This window comes from Homo sapiens, chromosome 9 (genome assembly GCF_000001405.40).
Source record: "Homo sapiens chromosome 9, GRCh38.p14 Primary Assembly".
Taxonomy (NCBI): domain Eukaryota; kingdom Metazoa; phylum Chordata; class Mammalia; order Primates; family Hominidae; genus Homo; species Homo sapiens.
In genome coordinates this window covers 4,662,256-4,674,848 of record NC_000009.12, presented here as the reverse complement: position 1 = coordinate 4,674,848, position 12,593 = coordinate 4,662,256, and the positions used below count along the sequence as shown (strand labels likewise).

Below are 12,593 nucleotides of genomic sequence, written 5' to 3'. Positions count from 1 at the left end.
AGATTCCTGGAAAATTCTTGAGAAGTGTGTATATGTAAAGAAATACTCAAATTGCCAGCTCCTGTTTTGGATATTCATGCAGAGATCACTATTATAATACAGCGCTGGCCAGGCGCAGTGGCTCACACCTGTAATCCCAGCACTTTGGGAGGCTGAGGCAGGCGGATCATGAGGTCAGGAGATCGAGACCATCCTGGCTAACACAGTGAAACCCTGTCTCTACTAAAAATACAAAAAATTAGCTGGGCATGGTGGTGGTCGCCTGTAGTCCCAGCTACTCGGGAGGCTGAGGCAGGAGAATGGCGTGGACCTGGGAGGCGGAGCTTGCAGTGAGCCGAGATTGTGCCATTGCACTCCAGCCTGGGCAACAGAGCTAGACTCGGCCTGAAAAAAGAAAAAAAAGCAAAACAACCAGCGCTACTTTTTCCCCTTTAAGTGGATGTCCCTCTGAATTACTTGTAAAGCATTATTACACACCACAATAATTTTCTCATCTCATCTGCATTTGAGGTGAATAGATCCATTACATTTTCTCTTTCAGTATGTGTAAGACTTATATTGAAGGGAATTTTATATGTTAAAGGTTTTTTTAAATTGTTATTATGATTTTTTTTAAGAGCAAGATTGTGCTCTGTCACACAGGCTGGAGTGCAGTAGCAAGATGATAGCACACTGCAGCTTCCAACATCTGGGCTCAAGGGATCCTCCCACCTCAGCCTCCTGAGTAGCTAGGACTACGAGTGCATGCTGCTATGCCCACCTAATTTTTTTTTAATGTAGACATGGGTTCTCTCTATGTTGTCCAGGCTGGTCTTGAACTCCTGACCTCAAGCAATCCTCTGGCCTCTGCCTCACAAAGCACTGGGATTACAGGTGTCAGCCACCATGCCCAGCCTATTGTGAGTATCTTTTTAACACAAAAAAGAATAAAATTACAGAAACCCCATTCATCCATCACCCACAGTCAATAATTATCAAGATTTTACAACATTTGCTTTATCTATTCCTTTTATTCATTGACTGGAATACTTAAAAGCAAAATCTTAGACATTAAATCATTTTACCACTGCATACCTTAATATATGTCTCTAAACAATGTTAATATTTGCCTTACATAAACACAAGGGCATTATCATATATATATAATGCCCATTTATCATGTATATAAAAATTAATTGCTTGGTGTTATCTAATGTCCAAACCATAAACAAATTTCCCTGATAGGCTGGGCATAGTGGCTCATGCCTGTAATCCCAGCACTTTGGGAGGCCAACGCGGGCAGATCAACTGAGGTCAGGATTTGGAGACTAGCCTGACCAACGTGGAGAAACCCTGTCTCTACTAAAGTTACAAAAAATTAGCCGGGCATGGTGGTGCATGCCTGTAATCCCATCTACTCGGGAGGCTGAGGCAGGAGAATCACTTGAACCCAGGAGGCGGAGGTTGAGATGAGCCAAGAGTGCACCATTGCACTCCAGCCTGAGTAACAGGAGTGAAACTCTGTCTCAAAAAAAAAAAAAAAAAAATTCCCTGATAGTCTCAAATATTGCATTTGGTTTGTTTGAATTAATGTCCCAACAAAGTCCACATATTCCATTTGGTTGTGAGGTCTCTTAAGTATCTTTTAATCTAAATCAGTTCCCTCACCTCTTCCTTTTTTTTTTTTTTTTTAAATGCCATTGACTTATTGCAGATTAACTGGGTTAGGGGTCCTATAGAATGTCCCAGATTCTATTTATTCATTTATTTATAGACAGAGTTTCACTCTTGTTGCCCAGGCTGGAGTGCAATGGCACGATCTCAGCTCACCGCAACTTCTGCCTCCCAGGTTCAAGTGATTCTTCTGCCTCAGCCTCCCGAGTAGCTGGAATTACAGACATGTACCACCATGCCCGGCTAAGTTTTTTGCATTTTTAGTAGAGACAGGGTTTCTCCATGTTGGTCAGGCTGATCTCGAACTCCCGACCTCAGGTGATTCACCTGCCTCGGCCTCCCAAAGTGTTGGGATTACAGGCGTGAGCCACTGCGCCAGGCTCTATTTATTTATTTGTTTGTTTGTTTACTTATTTATTTATTGAGACAAGGTCTCACTCTGTGGACCAGGCTGGAGTGCATGGCACAATCATGGCTCACTGCAGCCTCAACCACCCAGGCTCAGATGATCCTCCCACCTCAGCCTCTCAGGTAGCTGGGACTGCACGTATGTGCTGGAATGTCCCATGTTCTGTTATAAATATGTCTGCCTGCTTCCTTTTGTTGTCATTAACATGTTTTTCTATCCTCCATATTTCCTTTAAGTGAAGTTAACTCTAGAGCAATGCTGCCCATTAGAACTTTCTGTGATGATAAAAATATTCTGCCTGCATTACCTAATACCAGTAGCCACTGGCAACATATGGGTATGTGTGCTTTAAATGTGACTAATGCAATGAGGAACTGGATTTTAAATGTATTTAGTTGGCCGGGCACGGTGGCTCACACCTGTAATCCTAGCACTTTGGGAGGCTGAGGCGGGCGGATCACCTGAGGTCAGAAGTTCGAGACCAGCCTGGCCAACATGGCAACACCCCATCTCTACTAAAAACACAAAAAATTAGCTGGGTGTGGCGGCGGATGCCTGTAAACCCAGCTACTCAGGAGACTGAGGCAGGAGAATTGCTTGAACCCAGTAGGCAGAGGTTGCAGTCAGCCAAGATTGTGCCACTGCACCCCAGCCTGGGTGACAAGAGCGAGACTCCATCTCTAAATAAATAAATAAATAAATGTATTTAGTTTTAGTTCAGTTAGATAGCTATAAATGGCTACCATATTTTTATCATCAGACAGTGCAACACTCAGTGTAGTTGATTAGATTCAACTACAACTTTCTTGGTAAATGTGCTTCATAGGTACTTCCTATGAATCATATAGGGAAGCATATAATGTACCTATAATGATGCAGAGTGGGGCTGGAATTGATCAGTGAGTTCATATGGTGACAGCCAGATTCTGCTAATGTAAAGTTTGCCTACAGGATATTAACATTAATATATATAAATTATATATGTGTATATATGTATGTATGTATATATGTATGTGTGCATATATATGTATGTATATATGTATATACACACTTCATCTTTTTTATTTATTTATTTATTTTTTGAGATGGAGTCTCGCTCTGTTGCCCAGGGTGGAGTGCAGTGGCGCGATCTCAGCTCACTGCAAACTCTATCTCCTGGGTTTAAGCGATTATCCTGCCTCAGCCTCCCAAGTAGCTGGGATTACAGGCGTGTGCCACCACACCCCACTAATTTCTGTATTTTTAGTAGAGGCAGGGTTTCACTTGTTGTCCAGGTTGGTCTCAAACTCCTGACCTCAGGTGATCCGCCCACCTCAGCCTCCCGAAGTGCTGGGATTACAGGCGTGAGCCACTGCACCCTGCTATACTTCATCTTTAGGCAGTTTGTTAGAATCAAGGAAAGAACTCAGTGTAGTTCATTGAGCTTTCTCATACATACAAAAGTGAGAAAGGTAAAACTTTCTTCTCTGTATATCAGAGTTTGAGAAAACTAAACTATTACAGAACATTTTAGAGAAAGACTTTGGAGAAGGCCAAATATAAGACAATTATTTCTTGGGTCTTGAGACTGGGCCCATGCTTTAAAAGAAATAAAAAATCATTGACCTGGAAATGCACTACTACTGAAATAATCCAGATCATTTCATGTTCTTGGGTGTTTTTTCGTTTTTGTGTTTCTTCCTTTTCAGGCATTTCTTACAAATGCAAATGACTAACTCACTTTGGAAACTCAATCTGCTGGTGTTATTCATACTTGCTAATGAATAATTCACTGCTCAAAAGATTGGAGGGCCTGACAAATGAAGTCTGTTGAGTCCAGATATAAACAAATGGCTTACAACAGGACTTTGAGGGTCTTTTTTTAATCACTTATTATGAAATACAGCTGTCCTTTTGCTCTAATAAGGGAGTGTGGGTGTGACGGAGAGAACAGGCCCTCTTTTCTTACCTGCCGCCTTGTCTGACAACCCAGGTAGCCTTTCTTTTTGCTGTAGATGGGGAACCGCTGGCAGGAAGAGGAGTCAGCATGCACTGAACAGTGCTGTAAAACCTGACTTGACTAACATTTCCCCTTTCAGATTATGAAAGCCACAGACTCTTTTCCTGGAAAAATGCATATATGCACATGTAGGAAATGCTGCCTACCATTTCAGGAGGTTTAAGACCCCTGAGATAGCCAGGAATCACAGGATAAGAAGCCCTGCACTGGAAGCGGAAGTGGCAAACACACTTGCATGGATATTTTTATGGCATGCAGTATATAGGATATAGCTCCAAAAGCTGAAGAAGCCAGTTCCTGCTCCTTTCTATATTCCCAGACCAATCCTTTCTATTATTTTACATTTTCTACTTGTTTTAATGTGGTTTCCTTTTTGGATTAAATAATGCAAGTACTTGGCAAAAATATATTTTTTAAGGACCTATAGATATTCAATGAAAAATAACTTCCTCTCTGCTTCCCTACCCCAGGTCCCTCCCCAGAGGCACACATTACATTAATAGCAGCTTCTAGCATATCTTTTCAGGGATATTCTAAGCATATATGTAGATACAATATTCTCCTTCTCTCCCAAATGGCAGCACATTGTATACATTTTTTATGCCTTTTTTTTCTTGGCTCTATATTTTAGAGACTATTTACTATTAGAATATATAGCTCTGTCTGCCTCATTCTTTTTCCATGCTGCATAATATTCCATCATATGGCTAAACCATAACTGATTTCATCTGATCCTACCTAATGAACATTTAGTTGGTTTCCAGCATTTTTTCAACTAGAAATAATTGTGCACCATATGTTTTTGTGAAAGTATACCCATGGGATAAATTCTTAGCAGAATTGCTGAGTCAAATTAAACATTCTGATAGACATTATCAAATTGCTCTCCAGATAAGTTATATGTGGTAGGCAGAATAATGGCCCCCAAAGATATCCACATCCTAATCCCTGGAACCTGTGCATATGTTACCTTACATGGTAAAGGGGAAATTAAGGTTGTAGATGGAATTAAGGTTGCTGATCAGCTGACCTTAAATTAGGGAAATTATCCTGGATTATCTGGGTGTTTCACAAAGGTGCAATCACAAAGGTCCTTAAAAGTGAAAGGGAGGCCAAGCATGGTGGCTCATGCCTGTAATCCCAGCACTTTGGGAGGCCGAGGCAGGTGTATTACTCAAGAACGGGAGTTCAGGACCAGCCTGGCCAATATGATGAAACCCTGTCTCTACTAAAAATACAAAAATTAGCTGGGCATGGTGGTGCGTGCCTGTACTCCCAGCTACTCGGGAGGCTGAGGCAGAAGAATGGCTTAAACCTGGGAGGCGGAGGTTGCAGTGAGCTGAGATCGCACCACTGCACTCCAGTCTGGGTGACAGAGCGAGACTCTGTCTCAAAAAAAAAAAAAAAAAAAAAAAAAAAGGGAGAACCAGAGAGATGGCAGCATGAGAAGGACTTGGCTCTATGTAGCCAGTTTTGAACATGAAAGAAGGAAACTTTAAGCCAAGGAATACGAGCAACCTCCAGAAAAGCAAGGAAACAGAAAGGCAAGGAATGCAGCCCTGCAGGCACCTTGATTTTAGCCCATTGAGATCTGTGTTGGACTTCTCACAAAATTAAATAATAAATTTGTCTTGCTTTAAGCCCCTAAATTTGTTAAGCAGCCATAGGAAATGAATACATTGTATGTATTTACACTCCCATCAATGTGTTTTCCCATACCCTTCCCACTAGTGCTGTCTCTTTAATAGTTTCTTCCTTTCATATGAATACACTTATTATTTGAAATATTTATGATTTTTGTCTTATAATTAATTTTTTTAGTTAAAAAAAAATCTCAGCCATAATTATCTGTCATATTCTTGTTCTTTGTTAATTTACTCTTTGGAAAATCCCCATTTGGGGCATGTTTCATTTTCTTGTCTGGGGCCAGGATGTGAACGGGATGTGCTGCTGTATCATTTCTGCAATGCTGATGTCACTGCTGGCCAAGCTGCACTGCAGATACTCTCTGGAAATAGCAGTTGTTCATTGAAATCTGTTTGCTGCCACCAAGAGGTACCTACCCAGGTAATAAAGGCTTTCTCTTGAAGTGGTGACAGTCCAATCCTTAAAAGGCTTTGTTGGCCCCCGGCAGAGGTGGACAGCCTCAATGATAAATAACTTTGCAAGATGAGTGAGAGGGACTGGGTGTGTATAGCAACTGCCACATCTCCACAGCAGCTGAGAGCCTCAGGTAACCATGGCGGGGACAATTAGGAGAGTGTGAAGTATCCCCATCAACTCATTTAATATCACCATAGCAGATTTGCAGAAGTAGCTGTGCCTGGTCCTTTCTAATTCTGCAGATTTCTTTTACCCATTGTGATGGGACCTCTCTTTATCCATGTACATTAACCCCCACAGATTGGCTTGACCATCTCTGCATTTAATATTCAAAAATATTTATTATCTTCTATCCTATTTAGGGTATAAACGCTTAGCCATGCAGAGTTTACAGATTAAGGAGACAAATAGTAATCAAGAGTCACAGGAACAAATGTAAAACTGCTATTATGGCAGTCGCTACAAAGAGGAGATATATATATTTATATGTATGACATAAGATATGATATTGAGATTCCACCTTGTCAGCAGAAGAGAGGTCTTGGTGGGGTATGTAAATCTGTATACATGTGTTAATCAATGTCTGCAATGGATGACACTCTAAGTAAAGGGTATAGAGTGAGGAAAGGAAAGGACCTAGAAACATTGCTTAGCCAGAGGAGGATAAACAGACAAAGAAAGAATAGCCAGAAAGTTGGAGGGAAACCAGAAGAGAGCTGTGCCCTAGCAGCCAAGCAAGGAGAGTCCAGTTAGATCAAGAGTTAAGACTAAGAAGAGCATAGAATGGAACATTGTGTCTCTAGAGATCAACAGGATGTCTATATTGCAGACCCAGTGATGTGGTAGGGCACACCTGGATTCAAATGTGGCTGCTCCCTTATTAGGTCTGTGGCTTTTAGTAAAAGGCTGTCTAGCTTCAGATTCTGCATCTGTAAAATAGGGATAATATCTCCCTGATAGAGTTATTGTAGGGTTGAGATGAATTAGCATACGCAATGTGCCTAGCACTTTGCAGATCCTCAGTAAAGACTGATTCTTCTCTCCCAATACAACTCTGGCTATTTATTAATTTGTTTTGCTTGTCACTCTCCTTGATTTCTTAGCATTGGTGTTGGTGACCTACCTGTTAGGATCATCACAGGTCCTGTCCCACATCACTCTGGGTGTCAGCAAGTTGTGAGTGACAAATCAATGATCTGGACACTATAGATAGTTAGGTGCCCACCTGTATCTCTTGATATGCAGAGAGACACAGCACTAGGAACTGGATAAGGATACAATATGCCCTTCTTCATCATACCAAGTTTTTCCCTTCCAGGGAAATAAACTCCAGTTACCAAAATGAATACCCAATCTTGTCTTGACCATCCTTCTGCACTATTTCCAATTGTATAACTCTCTAATGCAAAATATTAGTAATAAATGACTGAACATAATTTAGGATTTAAAATTTTTTTTTCAGAGGCAGCATTGGCCTTCCTAGATTTTTTGGATTGCTAGAAGGAGCCACTACCTGCTCCTTTCCTTCATTTTTCTCTATTAGATGTAGTGAATGTCCCCTACTCATTCAGAACTCTTGCTCTGCGCACCACCTCTGACAGTGTTTACAGTAACTGTGGTTTTGGCAAATGCAATAACTACCCATTGGACTACTCAATGCTTGCCTTAAACTAAACCCCAGAAAAGGCTGGACACCGTTATGGAAAGACTGACATATTTCTATTGCTGCTAACAGGGGATACCTAACTTTTAAATATGTTTAAGAATTAACCTTATATTTCTAATTAGCACACGTTTGTTATTGACGGTGGCCATGTTTTCCGAAGCAAACATAACATTTAATAAGCAAAAGAGTATTTTTAGGAACAGGCAACTATATTAAATGAGAATTGTTACAGAAACTACAAGGCTTGGGGTCGTGCAGCTACTAAACGTGTACTATTTAAATTATAACAGACCTATGATCTCATTCTACTTTCAGAATGAAAACGGTAAACATTCTGACATGGTAATTGGGGATAGCAGGAGCTGATGGAAAGAAGATCGGGATTGTTAGCATTTCTCTATCCGTCTAGCACGCCAGACAGGGCCAGTCTCTCCGGCTGGGGGCACTGCGTGGGCAACAGCGACCGTGAGGGCGCGCGTCTGCGCTGGGGCCTCGCGCGCGTTCCACGATGAAGACTGCGCGTTTGAGTGTCCCTGGCAACGCCACGCTTCCGCCTTCTGGAAGCCTGCACTCCAGCTTCGAGTGTGAGAGACCCGTCCCGGTGGGAGGGACCTGGGCTGGGGGGGACGGTAGGGGAACAAGGGCGTGGGACTGGGGAAGCTTCTGGGAACATTTGCTCTAGGTATTCAGCTAAACTAAGAAAAATTGGTCCAAGGCTCGGCACAAAAGGATCTTCTCATTCCAGTCCTTTCGCCCACGCAGGGAACGATGCCTCTGGAGGTGGTGGTGGAGCTGCAGATCCGGGCGGTAAGAGATCGATGAACTCCCCCTCCTTAACCTCAAGTCGGACTCTAAATAGTCTCAGGTGGTTTTCAACAACCCTCCCCCACATCCCCCACTTACCACAAACACATCATTATCTTCTGGGACAGATCGCACCTTTGTCTTTTTCTCCATATTGGTTTTCCCTGACTTCCTAACCTTTAATTCAGCTCCACCTGTTCCCACTTTTTTTTTTTTCTGTTCTAAAGCTAACATGTTTCTTATCTTTATCATGAATTTTTAATTTCTTTTCAAACAACCCTGCATTAAGTCCAGGTAGAATTTATTTTCTTCTCCTGGATAAAGATTTGTGAAAGGATTTTCAACTTCTTTAAATAACCAGGGAATAATTTTAAAAAGCTCCATCACTTCCTGATTATTTGCCAACTCTATGAACCAATCAGATATTTTCTATGATATTTCCCCTTAGTGATAGCTCTGGCTTGCTAATTCCAAAAGGGAAATCAATCAATCACTATTTCGTAATTACCAAATCCTTCCTAAGTGAAGTGCTGTGGCAGAGTGACTCCATGGTTTCTACTTGGGGGTCTGTCACTCCCTCTTATTTCAGTTTCCATTTTCCAATCCTTCCATGTAGTTAGTAACAGAATATCATGCCGCTTTTCCTCTAGGGGCTTTTCTACTGGCTATGATTACAAGCACAGTGCTAACAGGAAATTGTCATGGAATCTGGTTGTCTTCCATACAATTGGCAAATGGTGTGGTTTCATCATACATGTGGGTGTGAAAGGTGATCAACATTTCCTGGATTTGTCCCACTTTGCTGACAGCAAATAGGGCTAGACCTTATTAGTAGTGCTATACCAGTTTTAAGCTCTAAAAATTGTGCAGGAAGAAGGAACTCTTGAGAAGCTAAGTGATAAATCTGTCTCCCTCCTCATCAAGGCAAAAATTAAGCAAGTTTTCATCTCACTTCATTCACCATTATTTGTTAATTTTATTTTGATTTTTAAAAGGCATTATTCAGTGTACAATTAACAAAGAAATCAGTTTTCTACTCTACTGTACTTAGGATGCTTCAAAAACATCAGGTGAAATGATCTATGCTTTAAGAGCCAGAAAACTCAGGCCTCAGCAACTAAAACAGAGAATTCCAAAATTGTAATTACAAATCAGATGGTAAGCCTAATTTCATGCCCCTAATATTCAGATTTGTGGACACTGCAAGAGGAAATATCATTTGCTTCCAAATATCTGGCTTGAATATTGCTGCAGTTAAAGGATCTCGCTAAGGTTAAACAACAAACCCAAACCACTTAGAGCTTCACAGTTTAGCTGCTTTAGCAAGTGAAGAGGTAGTCGGTATTCAGGATGCTGTGGGAATGCAAATGATTTGATTTTGAGGCATGGCTGTTCCTTTTTCACTATGCCCCTCACTCTGAACAAGCTCATGCTTTCACTCAATCAAAACCTACTTATCACAGCCGTTCTCCAGGTTCCGAACCTCCGTATGGCAGATCAAAGTCCATAATCATTTCTATTTATAAATGCCAAAATAGTCATTAAGATTATCTGAGGACATCACTTCCATAGGTAATTTAAAGGATTTCTTTTCAGGTAGAGCAGCACTTAAAGCACATACCTTCTCCAGTCTTTCTGGGTCAAAGAATAATGAGCAGAGTCCACCCTGCGTTTGGTGGTCTTTGGTCTTATGATTTGGGGAGGCACCATGGATGAACAGCTTTAAATGTAAAGGTCAATGTAAACAGAAATTTTGGAGTTTTATCTTGTGCCTGGTATAGCAGCAGACTCCCATGATGAATTTCAAGTTAAATACTGTTACCTAAAATGTGCTGTACCTCAGAAAACGGAATTCCATGTGAAAAACTGTAGCATACAGGTATATACGAGAAAGCTTATGTTCTTGCATTGAGAAGACGTTCCTTTTCCCCACTTTATTACCCTGAAAGAGGAGCATTATTCTTTATTCAGTGGAGATGACTGGCAGCAGGGCCCCATCTCCTGTCATACTGGTCACTGGCATAATATGTGGTCAGCCTATTCCCAAACTTTCAGTTCCTCTAACTTTCCCCAGCAACTTAGTTTCTCTGCCCTCTCTCATGCCATGTTACGTTGTAAACAAAAATAAGCATGGGGCCATGTCCCATTCTTCCTCTTCTATGAGCATCTTAGATATGCCTACCTTTTAAGTGATTCCTCTTTAAGCAAGTTGGCTTTTTCTCTGAATGCTAAAAGACAGTAAGGGAGTAGTGGGAAATGCATAAAGATCTTTTGAGGGATGGAGGGAGAGGAGAGAAAGACAAGTATTATAATCTCTTTTCCCACTACCCGATCCACAAATATGGATAGAGATAATAAATTATAGAGATAATAAAGTAAAAAAGCTTACCAAGAAAATCAGGATTAAGAAGAAATCTCCCAACTGTGGCAACAGATCTTCAGGGAATAAACTAGAAAAACCTATGTCTTGGACTTTAAAAATACTGTTTAAAATCTACCTCAGGAAAAGGACTAGGATTAGTACATGACCTGTCTGCATGTATATTTACAGAATGAACATCATGTTTCTTTCTCGAAGTTCAGTTTACAAGTGGTATGTTGATTTAGGGATTATCACAAAACACAAATCTTACTGATACCAACTTTTAACAGCAACAGTATAACCACCTCAGCTTGTTTTCTTTGCAGTTGTCCTGGAAACATAAACAGTTGTTGAATAAATATACAATAGAGGATTTTTTGGGTTTTTTTGCTTTCCCTAATATGGCTGTGTTCAGTAATGGCCAGTGTGTGCTCCAGCCTAGCAGCACATCAAGATCATGGGACACCTGAAATCCCAAAGGAAGCCTGAAATGCCTAAGAGGGACAAGCGGGATGGCTGCTGGTTTAGGTTGACATCATCGAATGTGGAAACCTTCAGACTTCCTGGTGCCATAATCAATGAGATGGTGTCATCGTTGACTCCACAGTAAAAAGAGGACCGGAGCATTATGGGGTGAGAGCCAGCAATAGTCCACGATGCTGTACTGCATGTAGCCCAGAAAAAAGCCAAAAGCTACGTCGGTGACATTGTGCCGCCCCAGCATGACCCTGGATAGGCCCAAGACGAAGGCCCACAGAACCACCAGCACCCTCAGTGGAATGGCCAGCACCAGGTGGTTCAGGATGAACCTCGACATCAGGGCGGCCCTTGTGGCATGGCCCGAGGGGAAGGAGTACTTGTCCACCGAGAGAGTGACAAACATGTCCATCTGGTTGTGGGCCGGGCGGCGCCTGCGGACCAGCCCTTTGATCAAGGCCACCAGCAGCAGGTCCAACAGCAGGGCGAAGAGCAGGTTCATCAGCACCTCGCGCCCGGCCCAGCTGTCGCTCCTGCACAGGCAGTAGAGGGTGCCCAGCAGCCAGGGGATGCCGTGTCCCGAGATCTCCAGCAGCTTCATAAGGGGTCGCACGCTGCCCCACGACGAGCTCTCTCCCGCGCACACCCCCAGCTTCTTGGACAGCCACAGGTCGATGGCCAGCAGGGAGCGCAGGGCGATGCCCAGGAAGGACGGGTTCAAGTCCATGCGGTCCTCCTCGGGCAGCGGAGGCGCGGGCGACTGCGAGGGGCCCGCCGCGGCCAGGGGGAAGGAGCCGCGGCGGTGAACTGGGCTCTCCGATGCACGGAGCCGGGCGCAGGTGGGGTCCACGGCCGTGGCGCGGCTGCTGAGCAGGGACTGGAACTCAAACCTGCTGCCGCCGCCACCGCCGCCATGGGCTGGGCTGCCGGGGCTGCTGCTGCTGCTCGAAGCGGAGACGCCCAGCGGCCGTCCCTCCATGCTCCTCCGGGGACTTGGCATCGCAGCTGGCGGCCCGGATCCCGGGACCTGGCCGGACCAAACAGAGGCTTCCCGGCCCTGCAGCCTCTTCCGCTTCCGCACTACCATCCCGGAGGGGCGGGGAGAGGAGCCGGCGAGAGC

The 12,593-nt window shown here is 43.1% G+C and overlaps 2 protein-coding genes across 11 annotated transcripts in view, besides 3 other annotated features; one reads left to right on the top strand and one right to left on the bottom strand.

Moving 5' to 3' along the window:
• SPATA6L (spermatogenesis associated 6 like) overlaps positions 8,369-12,593 on the top strand; it is a 77,660-nt gene continuing 73,435 nt past the window's right edge. For 7 of the 10 annotated variants that reach the window (NR_148445.2, NR_148443.2, NR_148446.2 and 4 more), the window contains exon 1: positions 8,369-8,637. Coding sequence is in view for 5 of the 10 variants with exons in the window: in NM_001353486.2 (NP_001340415.1) it covers positions 8,599-8,637 (39 nt within the window). In the remaining 5 variants the exon portion in view is untranslated. The remainder of the gene's footprint in view (positions 8,638-12,593) is intronic. The other 3 variants (NM_001039395.4, NM_001353484.2, NR_148444.2) reach the window with 2 other exon arrangements.
• Positions 8,441-8,520: a silencer, noted in NCBI's record as "silent region_19745". NCBI's record gives its function as "represses an Ori minimal core promoter by ATAC-STARR-seq in GM12878 lymphoblastoid cells {active_cell/tissue: GM12878}" and the evidence as "EXISTENCE:reporter gene assay evidence [ECO:0000049][PMID:35858748]".
• Positions 8,531-8,580: a silencer, noted in NCBI's record as "silent region_19744". NCBI's record gives its function as "represses an Ori minimal core promoter by ATAC-STARR-seq in GM12878 lymphoblastoid cells {active_cell/tissue: GM12878}" and the evidence as "EXISTENCE:reporter gene assay evidence [ECO:0000049][PMID:35858748]".
• Positions 9,591-12,555, bottom strand: PLPP6 (phospholipid phosphatase 6). The gene has a single exon (NM_203453.5). It carries the CDS (start codon positions 12,471-12,473, stop codon positions 11,586-11,588), a length of 888 nt encoding a protein of 295 aa, NP_982278.3. The 5' UTR covers positions 12,474-12,555; the 3' UTR covers positions 9,591-11,585.
• Positions 12,161-12,420: a silencer, noted in NCBI's record as "silent region_19743". NCBI's record gives its function as "represses an Ori minimal core promoter by ATAC-STARR-seq in GM12878 lymphoblastoid cells {active_cell/tissue: GM12878}" and the evidence as "EXISTENCE:reporter gene assay evidence [ECO:0000049][PMID:35858748]".

Bases quoted from the DNA above. Each gene is read 5' to 3' on its own strand.
- PLPP6 (NM_203453.5), bottom strand. From the start codon at position 12,473: ATGCCAAGTCCCCGGAGGAGCATGGAGGGACGGCCGCTGGGCGTCTCC.